Consider the following 16,802-nt stretch of genomic DNA (forward strand, 5'->3'; position numbering starts at 1 on the left):
ATCCATGTTGTAGCAGGTATCATCAGTGTTTCATTCCTCTTTTTCTTTTCTTTTCTTTCTTTTTTTTTTTGAGACAGGCTTACGCCATCATCCAGGCTGGAGTGTAGTGGCACAATCTCCGTTCATTGCAACTCTGCCTCCTGGGTTCAAGCAATTCTCCTACCTTAGCCTCCCGAGTAGCTGGGATTACAGGCTCGCTCCACCATGCCTGGCTAATGTTTGGTGTTTTTGGTAGAGATAGAATTTCGCCATGTTGGCCAGGCTGGTCTCAAACTCCTGACCTCAAGTGAGCCGCCTGCCTCGGCCTCCCAAAATGCTAGGATTACAGGGGTGAGCCACCACATCAGGTCTTTTTTTTTTTAAGATAGAGATGGAGTTTTGTGAGTTGCCCAGGCTGTTCCTGAACTCCTGGCCTCCAAAAGTGCTGGGAGAGTTCAGACATGAGTCATCACATGGCGTTCATTTCTTTTTTATGGCTGAATAATATTCCACTGAATGGATCTACCATTGTTTGCTTACACCCTCATCAATTGTTAGTTTGGGCTGTTTCCACCTTTTGGCTCTTTGACTATTGTGACTAGTACTGCCAAGAACATTACTTGTTTGAGGACTATAATTGCCGGATCATATGGTAACTCTATGCTTAACTTTTGAATTAGAAACGGTGTTTTAATTTTTCGAATATGACTCCTTTACGTGTCTGTGTCTGTTTCCATGTCTTCCTACTGTCTTAGTAGGAAGCTCACGACTCATTTGCGTAATTTTTCTGGCCCCTGAAGGCACCTGATTTTGCTGCCCCTAGAATACTTTGGAGGCAAAAAGAAAATAACTCTGTGCCCAATTCAGCCAGAGTCGTGGGGTAAAATCTTTTCACTTCTCAAAGTACTACTGTGGTTCATCCCCAAAGGGGGGAAATCAGGTTTTCCGGAGAGGAGGCGGCTACAATTAGGGAGGTGAGGGACCTCACGCGCCTCTTCCTTAGAGGAGGCGGGCGAGGCGAACGGCGGAGGAGGAGAAGCGGGGGCGCTGTGCGCTCTCTGGGGCGTGGGCCGCGCTCGGGGCTGCCCACCCCTCGGGAACGAGCCGGGGCGCTCAAGGAGGCAGCGACGCGAGGCGCAGCCGGTCCAGGTTTCGCCCGCCACCGCCGTGCGGCGCCTCTGCGGGTCAGGGCCGGGGGCGCGGTCGGGGCCGGGCGGGGCCCAGGTTGGCTCGCGGGTAGGCGGCCCCGCCCCCCACATCCGGGGGCCGGGGCCGGGCTGTGGGCTTGCCGCGCGCCGGTGAGTCAGGCCGGGTTTTCCCTCCGCCTTTGGGGCAGGCGATCGAGCGCCGCGGAGCGCGTCCCTCCCTCGCCAATCCGGCTCCGGCGCCGGCGCCCGCCCGCGTTTTCCCGGCGCCTGCCGCTCCGCCGCTCCGACCCGGCACGCAGTCCCGGCCCGAGCCGACGCCTTGCAGGAGGGTTCAAATCCGCGCGGGGGAGCTGCGACGCGCAAGGGCTGCGGAGCCGCGGGCCGGCGAGCGCGTCGCCACCATGGTAAGTGGGGCGCGCGAGGGGCTGGGGACCCGGGCTGGACTCGGGGGGTGGGGAGGGGTGGGGCGGGTCGCCAAGGTCTTGTTTTCGGGCGTCCTTGGCAAAGCTGCTGTCCCGCTGGCCGAGGCTCCCGTCTGAGAGATGGGCGGGGGTGGCAAGGTGCGGCGTGCGCCCAGGTGTCCCCTGCTCCCGGTCACCGAGGCACCGGATCGGGGACCGACCCCGATGCTCCGCTGGAGGGGCAGGCGGCAGGCTACCTTGCTCTCCCCAACCCCTGCAAACGCGCTTTCCAGGGAGCAGCGCGCGGGACCCCTGCGCCACGGCTGGGTGGGGCAGGCGTCCTTGGCGCCGGCGTCTGACCTCGGCCTCCGCCCCCCGGCCCAGCCGCTCCCGGCAGGCCTCAGGGAGGGGCCAGGAGGAGACGCGCCTCCCACCCCGCCCCCCAGGTAGCTCCGGGACCTCCCGCAGCTTTGGGGAACCCTCGCCTTCACCCCTGCTTTCCTGACACAAATTCCGTGGGGATGCAACCTCGTTTGCCCCTCTGACTTCCCCATGAGATCTCTCGCTTCCTCCCACACCTCCTTTATCCCCCAACCCCCTGCCGGTCCACCAGGCTGCAGCTGCGGGTCTGCGGGTAGGGGACATTCCTAGGTCTTGACCGCCAGAGCACCCGGTCCAGTCCCGGCCACAGCCTTTGGCCCAAGTGAGGGCTGGCCTGGGGACAAGCCGAAATCAGGGCCCTGGCTGTATCCAGAAAGAGAACTGAGACCCGTTGCCTCCCACTGGGCCACCCCCCGACCCCAACCACATAGGAACAGATTGGGCCTGGCTGTCCTCGGGAGGGAGCGGACGCAGGAGGCCATCCTGGGCGCGGTTATCAGCCTCCTCCCAGGGCCCTCCCAGGCAGGGCTTCTCTACCGGCTGGCAGCGTGTGGTGTGCATGTGCCAGACTGTGAATGAATGCGGCCAGCCTGCCTCTGCCACCGCCTCTAGAGCTAGCATAGCGACTCGGAGTCCCCATGAGGCAGGTTTCCTCTATTTCTTCCTGACCTGGGGGGCAGCAGGAGGGATTCCAGGCCTGGTGGACCGCAGTCTAGGGCAGCCTGGTTGCAAGTGTCCTTGGGAGAAACAGGCATGGAGGGCTGGGCAGACATATATGCAATACATACACAGCAGTGTGTGCCCATGGAGGGGAACCCGTGACCCCTGGCTTAGGACAACCTGCTGAGGTAGAAAGGACCTTGCCCAGGGAGTTGAGATTGCTTCTCACTGTGGGATCTTGGATAACTCACCTCGCCTTCCGAGGCCTCAGTTTCCCGATCTGTAAAATGGCGTGAGGGTAATTACTGTCCTGTTTGCCCCCACGAGGCTATTGTGGAGATGAAATGAGATAATGAAATAGAAGGGCTGAGAAAAAACTGTAGACTGCGGTGCAGCCGTGAAGCACTATATGGTGATACTAAGCACCACTTCCGCAGGCTTTAGCCCCTGTCTCTGCCTCAAGTGTCTGTCACAGAGGGGATGGGGTGGGCCAGCCTCTCCCAGCCCCTCTCTGGGCCCCCCTTGCCTACTACCCCCCCCTTTTGGAGCTGGGACATTCCAGTCCCATTCCTTAGGGGCAGCTGCAGACACGCCCCTTAGCAGAGCTGATCCCCCAGCAGGTGGTGGGACCTTTCCCTGGGGCCAGGGCTCAGGAGGGGCTGACTGTAGCCAGGGCAGGCAGCACTCCTGCCCATGTGGGGACTGGAATGTCCCACCCCAGAGGAGATGCAAGGTGGGATCCGAGAGGACTTCTAATCCTGGAGCCTGTGTGCTTTCTCCCCTGCGGCTGAACGTGACCTTAGGCGTGTTACTTCACTTTCTGAACCTCAGTTTCCTCTTGTGAAGTGGGGGATGACAGAACTCATCTCCTGTGTGTCTTGTGAGGATGTGATAGTGCCCTTTGGCGTGACCCAAAAGGGCACCAACAGGCTCTGGGACGCCCCCCTCAAAGAAAGCGCGTCCTCTCCTTCTTTGCTTCCTGGCCAGGGCAGCTGTGTCTTCCATCTCCACCAAGGATTGGTCCGAAAGCAATTCCTCTCCGTGTTCAGAGATTCCAGTGCTGCCTGCTAATCTTGGGGACTGGAGAGGGGTGAGGGGACTGGTGGCGGGGAGCAGGAGTGAAGAGGCCTTACTGGGGCTAGCCAGGACCTGTGGAGAATGTGGCTTGAATGTCCCAGCCCAAATCTAGCCAGCTGTGTGGCTGGGGGTTTGCCGCTCCCAGCTCAGGGAAGCCCAGGCACTTGGCTTGTCCCCTACCCTTCTCTCCACGACCCGTGCAGGGTCCCCGGCTTTTTGCTCTGATGTTCCAGTGAGGCTGCAAGGCACTTGCTGTCCTCCCTCCCTCCTCCCCCACCAAATCCCCTCCGCCTGCACAGCTGCCCTGCCCAGCTGCCCTGCCCGGAGCAGGCAATCCCTGGGCTTCCAAGCAACAGGAAGGAAGGAATGTATGTGTTGGGGGAGGGGGTGGAGGTAGGATGGACCCCTTTAGGAAAAGAGACTGTCCCCACTCTGTGACATACGCAGGGAGGAGTGTCCTGAAAGCTGGGGGCCCCCGCCCTGCTGGGGGAGCTGATAATCCAGTCAGTCAGCCAGGAGGGGCACAGTGGGGACGGTGGGGGGCCTAAGGAGAGACAAAGGGAAGGGGCTGTCTGCTGCTCCTTCACTAGCCTGGGGGCTGGGAAGGACACTAGGTCATCATGCCACTGGGCTGCTCCTGCTTTGTCAGTGTGTCCTGTGGGTGACCTTGTGCACAGCTGTATGATTGTGTTTGCTGCTGGACGTGACCGTCTGCACCGTGTCCTCTAACATGGGCTCTCTGTGCTGCTGGGTGGGGCTGACATGTGGCACACCGTGGCGTGTGTGGTTGTATGCGCTGTTGCGGCCGGTGGCTACCTCTAGCTCAGGGACTTTCCCTGGACCTGCGATGCCTCGTGGGGAACCTGGGGGTCGGTTATCTCCTCGAGACAGGAAGTGAGCATCTGCCCACCGGAAGCTGAGGCGGTGTGCATTTGGGGTGAGGTGGGCGTATTTGGCACTGCTGCCAACGTCCCCGCCCCCAGGGCCACACAGGGCTTACATTTCATAAGCCCTTTCCCCTCCATCTCTGACTGTCAGTAATCCTTTGAGGAAAGCCGGGCAGGCGGGGTCTTTCCCACTTCATTTTTTTTTCCTTTTTAAAAATAAATAGAGATGGGGTCTCGCTATGTTGCTAAGGGTGGTTTCAAACTCCTGGGGTCAAGTGATCCTCCTGCCTCAGCCTCCCAAAGTGCTGGGATTACAGGTGTGAGCCACCATGCCTGGCCCTTTCCCGCTTCAGAGATGCAGAAACTGAGGCATGGCAAAAGGCGGAGCATTTGTGTCTGGGGTCCCCTGGAGAGAGTGAGGGCAGGCTGGAGAGCAGGTCTCTGCTGTCCCCTCCCCAAGAAGCAGCAACAGGAGTTGAGCGTGCTTGTGGACAAACCACATCTCTGGCTGGATGGGCTTGTCGTGGCAAGGAGGTATCAGATGAGGAGGCAGGATGCTTCCATTCTAATACTTTTGGCTGTAGGGACCAATCCTAGGTCCCACTAGACATTGGGCAGCCATGACCAGCTACGACCTTGGGCAAGTCACTTCACCTTTCTGAGCCCCACTGACCTTTAAGAAGGGTCAATAGCTGGGCACAGTGTCACGCACCTGTGTTTTTAGCTACTCAGGAGGCTGAAGTGGGAAGATGGCTTGATCCTAGGAGTTCGAGGCTGCAGTGGGCCATGGTTGCACTACTGTAGTCCAGCCTGGGTGACAGAGTGAAGAGCAAGACCCTGTCTCAAAAAAAAAAAAAAAAAAAAAGAAGGGACAATAACTCTGTCACAGGACTCAGCAGGACCCGTATGCAGGGCCAAGTCGCTGTAGGAACCCATCCCCTGTGATTCCTTACCTGGATGCATCTCCTATGTAGCCTGCAACGTGCGTTCTCAGGGGCTGGGCTGGGTGGGGTGTGCAAACCCGGATTCGCCCCATCCTGGGTTTGGGGGTTGGTTGGGGGAGAGCTGAGGTCATTTTTGCACAGGGTGAGGTGAGGCTGTGGGGTTGGGGCAGGTCCCCCTCCCGGAGAGCTTTGTCTTCCACAAACACAAAACCTGGAAATGGTTGAGGAAGATGGAACCTCCTAACGACCATTGTTCGGGGGCAGGAGTGGGTGCCCGGAAGCATGGGTGGTAGTAGGGGACCCACAGCTGCAGCTGGCCTGCTGGGCTTCTGTTCGAGAATGGGAGCAGCTGCTCAGGGGTGGGAGGCAGAGAAGGTGGCATTTGTTCACTCGGCCAGACCTTTCTGCACGCCCGCTCCATGCTGGGCACTGGGCTGTGCAGAGGATCCCCAGGGGACTAGGTACCAGCCCTGCCTCCAGAGTGTGTGGCCCAGCACAGGTGGAAGGTGGTCCGTCAGCCTAGTCCCTTGGTGATGTTTGTGTGCCTGGCTGAGCTCGGCTCCAGCCAGCCTGTTGACCCTGGCTGTGGCCCAGGCCCTGAACTGGGTGCTCTGTCATGTTATCCCACCCCATCCTCCCAGCATCCCAGTGATAAGTGTTATTGTCGCCAGGGTGTGTGTGCGGAAGTCCAGGCTCACTGAGGTTAGTGGCTTGGCCGGGGTCACACACCGATTGGTTCCGCCAGGGTTAGGATTTGGGACCCACCCTGCCGGGTGGTGGGCTTTGGAATAAGAGCATATACAGGGGCTGGAGTGAGTCCAGCTGCCCCTTCCCTCCTCCACCCACCACTGCCCAGACGGGAACACCTGTCCCGGAAACTGTGGCCATTGTTCACGTCATCCTTCCTCCTTTTGGGCCCTTCCTGTTTGTATCCCTCCCACTGTAGCCCCCAACCCTCCCCCCCATGCCAGATGTTTCCCTTGGGGAGCTTTGCCCTTTGCAGGAAGAGGGCCTGCAGGGGTTACCCCTCTCCCATGGGAAGGAGGGTCTCACTGGCCTTGGGTCTCTGTGCCTTCTCCCCACCCCACAGATTTGGTGGGGAACATGGCAGGAGGGTAAGCAAGGTCAGGTTCAGCCAGGCTGAGTTTTCTTTTTTTTTTTTTTTTGAGATGGAGTCTCCCTCTGTCGCCCATGCTGGAGTGCAGTGGTGCGATCTCGGCTCACTGCAAGCTCTGCCTCCCAGGTTCATGCCATTCTCCAGCCTCAGCCTCCCGAGTAGCTGGGACTACAGGCGCCCACCACCATGCCCGGCTAGTTTTTGTATTTTTAGTAGAGATGGGGTTTCACAGTGTTAGCCAGGATGGTCTGCGTTTCCTGACCTTGTGATCTGCCTGCCTTAGCCTCCCAAAGTGCTGGGATTACAGGCGTGAGCCACCGCGCCCGGCCAAGTTTGTCTTCCTTAGCCCTGTGCGGGCCCAGTGCTGGGAGGACGGCTCCTGTCCTGCTGCTTCCAGGCCTATCCCCTCCCGGTACTTCTGAATCCCACACAGGCCCCGAGGTGGAGCTGGCCCTTCGGTGCTCGGCTGGGGCACCATTGCTCTTCCTTAGACTCAGTCCAGCAAGTGACAGATGGGCAGGTGGCTTTGGGGCTTGTACTTCTTTCTCTTGCCAGTCTAGGGATCCTGTCCCGGGGTTCTCTCTTGGACCCACATCTGCCTTACCTGGGCCTGGGCAAGGTTGTGGGGAGCTACAGGGAGCAAGTACCTTGTTTTCAGGCCCCAGGGAAGTTGGGCAGCCAGTGCTCACCTGCCCCTAATGGAGCCTCCCAATTCCCAGAAGCAGCTGCCTGTACCCTGTTGAAACTTCATGGCCACAGCCCCAGGCCCTGCTGGCATTGCCATGGGCAGCGTGGGCAGCCTGTTGGAACGGCAGGACTTCTCCCCTGAAGAGCTGCGGGCGGCACTTGCCGGGTCTCGGGGCTCCCGCCAGCCTGATGGGCTCCTCCGGAAGGGCTTGGGCCAGCGTGAGTTCCTCAGCTACCTGCACCTCCCCAAGAAGGACAGCAAGAGCACCAAGAACACCAAGCGGGCCCCTCGGAACGAGCCTGCCGACTATGCCACCCTCTACTACCGGGAACATTCTCGCGCGGGTGACTTCAGCAAGACCTCGCTGCCAGAACGGGGTCGCTTTGACAAGGTGCACCTTTGCCCATGCCCCTTACAAGGTGTGGGGAGGGTGGGGTCTCCTTGGAGACCCTGATGTTGGGATGGGGTGGGGACGGGGCATGCTGAGATACGAAAATCGTGCTATGGGCTGGCCTGAGGTTTGTTCACTGCCTCCTGGTGGCACGTGCCCCGCGGTCTCAAAGAGGATCCCTCAGGGGCTGTGAGAGCATCAGGAGGTAGAGCAGGCAGCTGCCCAGGTCTCACACCTGCCCTCTCTGCCCTCTCTTCCTGGCAGTGCCGCATTCGCCCCTCAGTGTTCAAGCCTACGGCGGGCAACGGGAAAGGCTTCCTATCCATGCAAAGTCTGGCGTCCCACAAAGGCCAGAAGCTGTGGCGCAGCAATGGCAGCCTGCACACGCTGGCCTGCCACCCGCCCCTGAGCCCCGGGCCCCGGGCCAGCCAGGCCCGGGCACAGCTGCTGCACGCCCTCAGCCTAGATGAGGGCGGCCCTGAGCCCGAGCCCAGCCTGTCCGACTCCTCCAGTGGGGGTAGTTTTGGTCGCAGTCCTGGTACTGGCCCTAGCCCCTTCAGCTCCTCCCTTGGCCACCTTAACCACCTCGGGGGCTCCCTGGACCGGGCCTCTCAAGGACCCAAGGAGGCTGGGCCACCAGCTGTGCTGAGCTGCCTGCCCGAGCCACCACCCCCCTACGAGTTCTCCTGCTCCTCTGCCGAGGAAATGGGAGCCGTGCTGCCCGAGACCTGTGAGGAGCTCAAGAGGGGCCTTGGCGATGAGGACGGCTCCAACCCCTTCACGCAGGTGAGGGAGCCCCTGCCCTGGAGTCCTGTTCTGTGCCTCAGCACTGGGGTACAGGCCAGAGAGAGGGGCCCCAGCCAGTTCACCCACGTGGCCGTGGACACAAGAGAGCAAGAAAGGGGGAGCTGGCTTGGCTTCCTTCCTCTGCATCCCAGGTGGTGGGGATGTCATGTCACTGGGGGTCCTTGCCTGGGAGTTGTGTGGGAAGGAGAGAGGCTCCCTGGGAGGGCCATGTGATGGGGACACCTCACCCTGGAGGGCATCCCGGGTTAAAGCGCATGTGTGGCTGGGTCCTGTGGTGTAGGGGCACAGGATATGATCAGTGGCTGGAGTATCAGGTGGAGCTCTGAGTCGCCTCTAGGGGGCAGGGCCACGGTGGATGCATCTCTTCCCCTTGACAGGTGCTGGAGGAGCGCCAGCGGCTGTGGCTGGCTGAGCTGAAGCGCCTGTATGTGGAGCGGCTGCACGAGGTGACCCAGAAGGCTGAGCGCAGCGAGCGCAACCTCCAGCTGCAGCTGTTTATGGCTCAGCAGGAGCAGCGGCGCCTGCGCAAGGAGCTGCGGGCTCAGCAGGGCCTGGCTCCGGAGCCTCGGGCCCCCGGCACCCTCCCAGAGGCTGACCCCAGTGCACGACCAGAGGAGGAAGCCCGATGGGAGGTGAGAGATGACACAGGGCTCCGAGACTCTCCCATCTCCATTGCCGGTCCCTTCTTCTGCCTGCCCCCTCCCAAACCGGCTCCCCACACCCTACTTTGCTTGCGTCCTCCCCATCCCCCAGGTGTGCCAGAAGACAGCAGAGATTAGCCTCTTGAAGCAGCAGCTGCGTGAAGCCCAGGCGGAACTGGCCCAGAAGCTGGCGGAGATCTTCAGTCTGAAGACACAACTTCGGGGCAGCCGGGCACAAGCCCAGGCTCAGGACGCAGAGCTGGTCCGGCTGCGCGAGGCTGTGCGCAGCCTGCAGGAGCAGGCCCCTCGGGAGGAAGCCCCAGGCAGCTGTGAGACTGATGACTGCAAGAGCAGGGGCCTGCTAGGGGAGGCAGGAGGCAGCGAGGCCAGAGACAGTGCTGAGCAGCTGCGGGCTGAGCTGCTGCAGGAGCGACTTCGGGGCCAGGAGCAGGCGCTGCGCTTTGAGCAGGAGCGGCGGACTTGGCAGGAGGAGAAGGAGCGCGTGCTGCGCTACCAGCGGGAGATCCAGGGAGGGTACATGGACATGTACCGCCGCAACCAGGCACTGGAGCAGGAACTGCGGGCACTGCGGGAGCCCCCCACACCCTGGAGTCCCCGGCTCGAGTCCTCCAAGATCTGAGGCCAGCAGAGCGAGCTGACAGCAGCAACACTGTCAGAAGGTGCCCTGAGACGGCCGGCTCAGCCTTCCCTTGCACTGGTTGGGGTGGAACCTGCAGAGGCCAGCCCGGGGCTGGGGAGGCGCAAGGAGAGGAGGGATCCAGTGGGGCCGTGGGCTGGGTAGGGTGCCTTGGCAGGAGCCAGGACAAGGCCCTCCTGGCAGAGGAGCACCTAGGCAGGGCCCAGCCCTGCTTCCTGGAGTGGATGTGGCCCAGAGAAGGAGGCTGGGGGATCACCAGCCCCAAGGTCCCGAAGGGCAGGTCAGAGGGAGAGAGGCTGGAGACCTGGGCTGGGGCCTTCCTCCAGGGAAGGAGGCTGGGGTGGGAACACTGGCCTCCCCCAGAATAAAACCATGTTTTCTACCAGAGGCTCAGAATACGCTGAGCCTGTGACCAGAGGATGATGGATGGTCGGGATTGAGGCTGTTGACCTGGGCAGTAGCTCCTCCCATGGCCAGTGGTCAGTGGGAGGGTGTGCCCTGCGCCTGTCTGCATGGCCACTGGGCATGTGTGTTGGGAGCAGAGGAGTCCTACTCCTTGCCTCAGCCCCACACGGTTCCTTAGCTGCCGTGTGGGCTGAAATTCCTTTCTTTAGCACCAGTGGAGTTTTCAGAAGGAACAACACCAGGGAATGCCAAAAAAACAAAGGGCAAGTCAACCAAGGCATTTTGAGAACATGAAATGTCTTCTTGGTGGGAAGGCTGGGCCCCAGGAGTATCCACAGGCTCAGGCCATGCCCCTCCCCGCACCCACCTCCTGTCTCCCTCCCTCCCTCCATAGGAGTGGGGGGCCCCTAGAAGTGCTCTGCCTCATTCCCTGTTCGTAGGAAGGTGCAGGAGAGGAGGTGGGCAAGCTTATGGGTTTCTTGGTAAAGAGCCTTTACCACAGCAAGGAATGGGAACATTTCCCCATCAGCAACGGGGCTCTAGGGCATTATTAAGTAGGGGTGAAATATGATTGATTTGCATTCTGGAAAGCTCTCCCAGGAGGAAGCATTCCCCACCCCACCTTGCCTCTGTCCTGCGCTGGGCTCCAGGACGGTCAGTCCTCCCGGATCCCTGCTCTCAGCTAAGGCTGGTCCCTAAAACCCACACCTGCCTTTGGTCTCTCAGAGGCCTGGCTTGCCCTCTGGGCCTTTGCTCCCCCGCTGGGTGCCCGGCCTGGAACACAGGTTCTGTCTGGCTGTGTGAGTGGCGTCTCTCCCTTCCTTTGAGGGAAGCTCAGCTTTCTTACGCGCTCATCGTTGGACGGGCTGCCATGCATTGCGTGCTTACTGGGCGCCAGGTGCTGTGCTGGGCCCTTGTGAGTGTGGGGGCACAGGCTGAATTAGATGAGCTCCTGCCGCAGGGGGCCCTGCACACTGATGTCAGCTCACCAGTCTCTTCCCTGACAGGGCAGCTCAGGGAACTTCTGAGAAGTTATCTGCAGAGAGCCCCACCTCACTCCCTTTGGCTACCCTGGCCGTGCCTGGCAGCCCCTCAGGCCCCACAGGTGGGTCCTGGTTGTGAAGTGGAGTTAGTGCACATGGATGTCAGGGGACGGGTGTGAGGCATGAGCTGGGGGGGCCCCCTTTTTCAGGGCAGAGAATGAGGCGTGTGCACTGTCTGCTGTGGGGATGGTGTGTTTATGGCCATGTAAGTGGCAGGTGTGTGTAAAGATGTGCTTGTGGGTGGTGGGTGTGTCTGAGGGGGTGTGTTTGGGAGCCTGGCCTCCAAAAGCCAGTGTCTGGGTTGGAGACAGTGCAGGCCCCTTCTTGGCCCCACCCTCTACCCCATTCCTTCCTGTCAGCCCCAGTCTGTCTTGGCACTGGCCAGGCTTGGGTGGAGCCTGTGTCCCAGACAGATCCCCTAGGCCTATCTGAGACCCATACAGGCCCACACCTGAGCTCCTGTCTGCCTGAGGAGGGAAAGGGGGAGTGGCCAGGTCAGGCAGGCCAGTCGTCTACACACCCCCTTGGTACCCATTCCCATTTCACAAACTCCTCCAAACCCCAAACCCCAAACGGAAATCTCTGGGACAATGGCTCCTCCAGAGGGCCCCTCAGAGCCAGGTGCTGGCCAGATGCCTTGATCACAGCCTCCATGGCCAGGGGCCTGTCAAGCCAGGGGCCCACACACCTGGTGCCAGGGTCCACCTTGGTATACCAGCTCGGCAGAACAGTTCCCCACCCAGCGATTAGGGAGCTGGGCTGGCCAGTACAGCCAGTGGGGAGTGGGTGGGAGGCACCAAAACTTGGCAGCTGTGCCAGAAACCAAAGCCAGGCCCAGATGTAGGGGGAGGGCACGAGAGCTGAACCTGAGCCTGGGGCGTCTCGGAGCTGGATCCCCGTCAGCTCATCCAGGCTGGACAAACCAGTTCCTGGGTCCCCCAGCCGGCTGGGTGGCTCTGGGGCCAACCGACCACAGGTGTCACTGATCACAGGTGTCACCGTAGTGGCTACCACCTCAGGGCAGCCCCTCCCTCCAGCTGGCGGGGCCTCAGCTTCCCAGCTGCCCTGGCTTAGCCTTCCCTGCAGCCCCTCCCCAACAGGCTTGGTCCGGGCAGCCTGCTCTGCGGAAGGTGGCAGCCTCCTGGTGCTGGGCTCCCTGCCTCTGGGGCCTCCAGTCCTTCACTCAGTGTCATCCCTTCCAGCAGCTCCCTGGGCCTCTTGGTCCATCCCTTCAGGCTTCTGACACACTAGTGGCCTCGAGTCACTGATAGTGGTGCCTCCTCCTTACCTTGGCAAGCCCTTGTAGCCCTCTGAGCCCTCATCCTGCAGGCAGAGCCCCTCAGTGCTCTGAGAAACCTGCCCTGAACTCACCGCCTCCCCTGCCTGGGCACTCCCTCCTCCCTGCGCCCACAGCCCCCATGCCAATCTCCGTCAGCTCTTTCTGTGCTGCTGTAATTGTTGGTTTGCCTGTCTCCTTTGAGCTGTGGGCATTGCCGGGGTAGGGTGGTGTCTTCACCACAGCTCCAGAAGGCACTGGTGGGATGTGGAGTCAGGAGCAACCAGAGACCCCCCAATACTAGAATGGGTTTGAGCTTGGGGTGGGGTGGATGGGGAAGACTTACTCTGAATGTTCGTTCACCATCCGTGGGCACCAGGTCTGTGCCAAGCACAGGGACTCCAGGGGCAGCTGCCATTCGTTCCAGTGATGTATTTGGGGCCTTCTCAGGTGAGGAAGCCAAGGTGGCCAAGGCCCTCGGTCCCCTGCCCTGATAGGGCTTACCTGTGGGTGGGGGAGGGAGACCACACATGTCAGAGGTAGTGAAGGCCGCTCCAAATAGTGACTGGGGCCAGGCAGGCGGAAAAGAGAACAGAAGAGAATCCAGAAGTGTTCAGACAGAACTAGGGACAACAGAGGGGCCTCCATGGTGGCATGGGTCAGCAGAGCATGGAGCAGGCAGAGGAAGCCTATCTGTGGGGCTGGGTACATTTCTCTGAGACTCACGGAATGTAAGTGTTGAGGTTTCTGCAAAGAGGGCGCAGGCCCTGCAGTGACGGTTCAGATATTGATAACCCATCCCCCTTGGCAGGTGGGGGCTTAGGCATCCATATTGGATTCAGAAAAGAAAAAGAATGATGCTTCTTGCAACAAAAACAAAAGTGATTATGTCACGAGAGGAGAGGCTGGAGGGCCATGGGAGTTCCCAGCTGGCTCACTCATCCGTCCAGGAGGTGGGTCTCATGGTTTCATTTTGCTTTGGGCTTACTTAGAGTTTTGGCAAATGCAGAGTTATGTAACGAACCCAACAATGAAGATACAGTTCTGTCACCCCCCCAGCATTCTCCTGTGGCCCTCTAGTCCACCCCCCGCCCCACCCCAGCCCCTGGCAACCACTGATCTGCTTTCACAATAACCGTATGGGGTTTTTTCTCTTTCCTTTTTTGTGAGCGGTATTTAATTCCTTTGCTCTAATATGTAATATTAGAACATATTACAAAGTAGCAAGAAAAATACGACATTGGTGTAAAAATAATCTACACCTCATGGAAAGAATGAAGAGCCAGAAATAGATTCTATTCTGTAGAAAATCTTACACAATAAAGGACTTCAAAATAAGGGTAAGGAAGGATGCTTTAACAAGCGGTGCTGGGATAACTGGATAAAAATTTGGGAAAAAAGTCATACTATGTGCCACCCCTGCATTTATTTTATTATTTTATTTTATTTATTTTTTTGAGATGGAGTCTCACTGTGTTGCCCAGGAGTGCAGTGGCGTGACCTCAGCTCACTGCAACCTCCGCCTCCCGAGTTCAAGCAGTTCTTCTGCCTCAGCCTCCTGAGTAGCTGAGACTACAGGCGCCTGCCACGACGCCTGGCTAATTTTTTGTATTTTTAGTACAGACAGGATTTCACCATGTTAGCCAGGATGGTCTCGATCTCCTAACCTCGTGATCCACCCGCCTCAGCCTCCCAAAGTGCTCGGATTATGGGCGTGGGCCACGGCGCTTGGCCCACCCCTGCATTTATTGAGTTAAATTTTAAAAATCCTATCCTAGGAAATTGGTGGTGGGGCTCAGAAAATGATACCCCAAAGTATGAAGCTGTGGGAGGCTGAATGCTTTGAACTAAAGTATCTGACCATCGCTCACTCCTTTTCCCTCCCAAAACCCTCCTGAAGCGCAGGGAGGGGCCTTCTCTGATGTTCTCTTTTGTTTCTAAGGGAAGTTCCTGCAGAAGGAATGCCATTGTCTTGAGCCCTTTCCCTAGCATCTCATAAAACATGGACAATTAACTCACAGGAAAGGATACTGAAGGTGATACCATCTCTTCTGAGGACTGGGCTGCTTGAGAGGTTTTATCTGCATGACAAGACAGCCTTTGTTTGCCATGCATTTCCTCCCCTCAACCTCCTAGCGTCTGCTGCCACCTCCTCCCAGAAACCTCAGGCCCCAGTTTTTGGAGCTCAAATGCTATTTAGACTTCATCAGTCTGGCCCTTACTAGAGTCTCACATTTTGTGGGACTCCTGTGCATGTATGTAATAAATTTGCATGCCTTTTCTCCTATTAATCTGTCTACTGTCAATTTTATTCCAGAGACTCAAATTATTGAAGCTTCGGAGAATACAGGGAATGTTTAAAACTTCTACGCTGGCAAAAAGTTAATTCAATTATTACTGAATTAATGGGAGAATTGATTGCTTTGAAGGAATCCTCCCCATCCCTAACAAAAATCAAAAACAATCCCTATGGGGAAAGATGGACAAAGTCAACTATTTAATACAACTTGGTGCACACTTGAAAATAATACCAAGATGCAAGGATGGCCACATACTGGGGGAGAACCTCAACTTTGCTCACATCCTTCTTGGCTGTGAGGCAGGCCAAGGCTCCCGGAGAGGAAGTGGGGAAGCCTGGGGCATTTGCCAAAGCCTGTGAGGTCAGGTTGGCTGGAAGGTGGCTTGGGCCCCTTGGCACCAAGGCAAGGTTCAATCAACTCTCCACCCCTATGGCTTCCGTTTGGGCCAGGGCCACCCAGGCTCCTCATGCTTGGGCAGGCATCTCTGGGATCCGCCCTCCTGACGCCCCTGCAGGCACACAGTCCTGCTGTGGGCCTTCTCCCCTGCTATATATCATAAGGTTTTTGAGCCGCAGTTTCCTTATGTATACGTGGAGGACACTGGCTTCTTGAGTATCTCTGAGTACCTCCTGTGTGCAAAGCATATGGTGTTGGCGATAAGGCAGTGATGAAGACAAAACATGGGCCTGGTGGAATTTTTTTTTTTGTTGTTCGTTTTTGTTTTGTTTTGAGACAGGGTCTCACTCTGTTGCCCAGGCTGGAGTGTAGTGGTGCAATCTTGGCTCACCGCAACCTCCGCCTCCCGGGCTCAAGCGATTCTCCTGCCTCGGCCTCCGAAGTAGCTGGGATTACAGGTGTCTGCCACTATGCCTGGCTAATTTTTTTTTTTTTTTGTATTTTCAGTAGAGACAGGGTTTCACCATGTTGGCCAGGCTGGTCTTGAATTCCTGACCTCAAATGATCCACCCGCCTTGGCCTCCCAAAGTACTGGGATTACAGGTATGAGCCACCACGCCTGGCCCATGTTTGTTTGTTTTTGAGACAGGGTCTCTCACACTCTGTTATCTAGGCTGGAGTAGTGGCGCGATCACTGCTCACTGCAGCCTCGACCTCCTAGGCAGCCTCCCATCTCAGCCTCCCAAGTAGCTGAGACTACAGATGTGCACCACCACACCCGGCTAATTTTTGTATTATTTGTACAGACAGGGTCTCCCTATGTTGTCCAGACTGGTCTAGAACTCCTAGGCACAAGCATTCCTCCCTCCTCAGCCTCCTAAAGTGCTGGGATTACAGGCGTGAGCCACCATGTCTGGCCCCAAAGAGGGTGATGGGAGTGGGGGCCAGAAGACAGAATGAACAAATAAACACGCAAGATAACTTCCAAGTGCTATAAAGAAAACAGGTCGGCTGGGTGCGGTGGCTCACGCCTGTAGTCCCAGCACTTCGGGAGGCCGAAGCAGGCGGATCGCGAGGTTAGGAGTTCAAGACCAGCCTGGCCAGCATGGTGAAACCCCGTCTCTACTAACAATACAAAAAATTAGCCAGGCATGGTGGTGTGCACCTGTAGTCCCAGCTACTCAGGAGGCTGAAGCAGGAGAATTGCTTGAACCTGGCAGGCGGAGGTTGCAGTGAGCCAAGATTATGCCATTGTACTCCAGCCTGGGCGACAGAGCAAGACTCCGTCTCAAAAAAAAAAAAAAAAAAGAAAACAGGGCAAGGAATGGTGGCTCATTCCTGTAATCCCAATACTTCCAAAGGCTGAGAGGGGAGGATCTCTTGAGGCCAAGAGTTCGCAACCAGCTTGGGCAACATAGGGAGACCACCTCTCTATTTTGAAAAAAAAAAAAAAAGTAAGTTGTGCAAAGGGGAGGGAGGGGAAGGCATGGAGGATTCAAGGGGAGGATGGCCTGGAATGAGGCCCAACCAAAAAGGGAGCAGAAGTGGGCAACACAGAGACCTGGCTTTTTCTCCAGGGCTGTTCCTAGTCCCAGCTGAGGCC

General features: G+C 58.0%; 1 protein-coding gene across 12 annotated transcripts, besides 14 other annotated features; it reads left to right on the forward strand.

Moving 5' to 3' along the window:
* Positions 1,032 to 1,581: a silencer, noted in NCBI's record as "silent region_16709". NCBI's record gives its function as "represses an Ori minimal core promoter by ATAC-STARR-seq in GM12878 lymphoblastoid cells {active_cell/tissue: GM12878}" and the evidence as "EXISTENCE:reporter gene assay evidence [ECO:0000049][PMID:35858748]".
* On the forward strand, positions 1,292 to 14,794 carry N4BP3 (NEDD4 binding protein 3). 12 transcript variants are annotated; one of them, XR_007058596.1, is made up of 8 exons: positions 1,292 to 1,531; positions 7,314 to 7,673; positions 7,938 to 8,459; positions 8,858 to 9,112; positions 9,234 to 9,801; positions 11,192 to 11,289; positions 13,315 to 13,456; positions 14,446 to 14,794. XR_007058596.1 is itself a non-coding variant. In XM_011534473.2 (6 exons), exons 2-5 carry the CDS (start codon positions 7,344 to 7,346, stop codon positions 9,759 to 9,761), a joined length of 1,635 nt encoding a protein of 544 aa, XP_011532775.1. In that variant the 5' UTR covers positions 1,292 to 1,531; positions 7,314 to 7,343; the 3' UTR covers positions 9,762 to 9,801; positions 11,192 to 14,794. The 12 variants fall into 12 exon arrangements, 5 of the variants coding, with proteins under 5 accessions (XP_011532775.1, XP_011532776.1, XP_047272954.1 ...); XR_007058594.1 differs by having other exon boundaries at positions 13,315 to 14,794; XR_007058597.1 differs by lacking the exon at positions 11,192 to 11,289.
* Positions 1,662 to 1,981: a silencer, noted in NCBI's record as "silent region_16710". NCBI's record gives its function as "represses an Ori minimal core promoter by ATAC-STARR-seq in GM12878 lymphoblastoid cells {active_cell/tissue: GM12878}" and the evidence as "EXISTENCE:reporter gene assay evidence [ECO:0000049][PMID:35858748]".
* Positions 2,332 to 2,381: a silencer, noted in NCBI's record as "silent region_16711". NCBI's record gives its function as "represses an Ori minimal core promoter by ATAC-STARR-seq in GM12878 lymphoblastoid cells {active_cell/tissue: GM12878}" and the evidence as "EXISTENCE:reporter gene assay evidence [ECO:0000049][PMID:35858748]".
* Positions 2,420 to 2,933: an enhancer, noted in NCBI's record as "H3K27ac hESC enhancer chr5:177541661-177542174 (GRCh37/hg19 assembly coordinates)". NCBI's record gives its function as "activates a minimal SCP1, AML or CMV promoter by ChIP-STARR-seq in primed H9 embryonic stem cells {active_cell/tissue: H9 hESC(primed)}" and the evidence as "EXISTENCE:reporter gene assay evidence [ECO:0000049][PMID:30033119]".
* Positions 2,462 to 2,521: an enhancer, noted in NCBI's record as "active region_23734". NCBI's record gives its function as "activates an Ori minimal core promoter by ATAC-STARR-seq in GM12878 lymphoblastoid cells {active_cell/tissue: GM12878}" and the evidence as "EXISTENCE:reporter gene assay evidence [ECO:0000049][PMID:35858748]".
* Positions 2,992 to 3,101: a silencer, noted in NCBI's record as "silent region_16712". NCBI's record gives its function as "represses an Ori minimal core promoter by ATAC-STARR-seq in GM12878 lymphoblastoid cells {active_cell/tissue: GM12878}" and the evidence as "EXISTENCE:reporter gene assay evidence [ECO:0000049][PMID:35858748]".
* Positions 8,548 to 9,350: an enhancer, noted in NCBI's record as "H3K27ac-H3K4me1 hESC enhancer chr5:177547789-177548591 (GRCh37/hg19 assembly coordinates)". NCBI's record gives its function as "activates a minimal SCP1, AML or CMV promoter by ChIP-STARR-seq in naive H9 embryonic stem cells {active_cell/tissue: H9 hESC(naive)}" and the evidence as "EXISTENCE:reporter gene assay evidence [ECO:0000049][PMID:30033119]".
* Positions 8,688 to 8,747: an enhancer, noted in NCBI's record as "active region_23735". NCBI's record gives its function as "activates an Ori minimal core promoter by ATAC-STARR-seq in GM12878 lymphoblastoid cells {active_cell/tissue: GM12878}" and the evidence as "EXISTENCE:reporter gene assay evidence [ECO:0000049][PMID:35858748]".
* Positions 8,858 to 8,907: an enhancer, noted in NCBI's record as "active region_23736". NCBI's record gives its function as "activates an Ori minimal core promoter by ATAC-STARR-seq in GM12878 lymphoblastoid cells {active_cell/tissue: GM12878}" and the evidence as "EXISTENCE:reporter gene assay evidence [ECO:0000049][PMID:35858748]".
* Positions 9,088 to 9,217: an enhancer, noted in NCBI's record as "active region_23737". NCBI's record gives its function as "activates an Ori minimal core promoter by ATAC-STARR-seq in GM12878 lymphoblastoid cells {active_cell/tissue: GM12878}" and the evidence as "EXISTENCE:reporter gene assay evidence [ECO:0000049][PMID:35858748]".
* Positions 9,238 to 9,287: an enhancer, noted in NCBI's record as "active region_23738". NCBI's record gives its function as "activates an Ori minimal core promoter by ATAC-STARR-seq in GM12878 lymphoblastoid cells {active_cell/tissue: GM12878}" and the evidence as "EXISTENCE:reporter gene assay evidence [ECO:0000049][PMID:35858748]".
* Positions 11,758 to 12,559: an enhancer, noted in NCBI's record as "NANOG-H3K27ac-H3K4me1 hESC enhancer chr5:177550999-177551800 (GRCh37/hg19 assembly coordinates)". NCBI's record gives its function as "activates a minimal SCP1, AML or CMV promoter by ChIP-STARR-seq in naive H9 embryonic stem cells {active_cell/tissue: H9 hESC(naive)}" and the evidence as "EXISTENCE:reporter gene assay evidence [ECO:0000049][PMID:30033119]".
* Positions 14,299 to 14,959: an enhancer, noted in NCBI's record as "OCT4-NANOG-H3K27ac-H3K4me1 hESC enhancer chr5:177553540-177554200 (GRCh37/hg19 assembly coordinates)". NCBI's record gives its function as "activates a minimal SCP1, AML or CMV promoter by ChIP-STARR-seq in naive and primed H9 embryonic stem cells {active_cell/tissue: H9 hESC(naive and primed)}" and the evidence as "EXISTENCE:reporter gene assay evidence [ECO:0000049][PMID:30033119]".
* Positions 15,622 to 16,282: an enhancer, noted in NCBI's record as "NANOG-H3K27ac-H3K4me1 hESC enhancer chr5:177554863-177555523 (GRCh37/hg19 assembly coordinates)". NCBI's record gives its function as "activates a minimal SCP1, AML or CMV promoter by ChIP-STARR-seq in naive H9 embryonic stem cells {active_cell/tissue: H9 hESC(naive)}" and the evidence as "EXISTENCE:reporter gene assay evidence [ECO:0000049][PMID:30033119]".

Source organism: Homo sapiens, chromosome 5 (genome assembly GCF_000001405.40).
Source record: "Homo sapiens chromosome 5, GRCh38.p14 Primary Assembly".
Classification (NCBI taxonomy): Eukaryota; Metazoa; Chordata; class Mammalia; order Primates; family Hominidae; genus Homo; species Homo sapiens.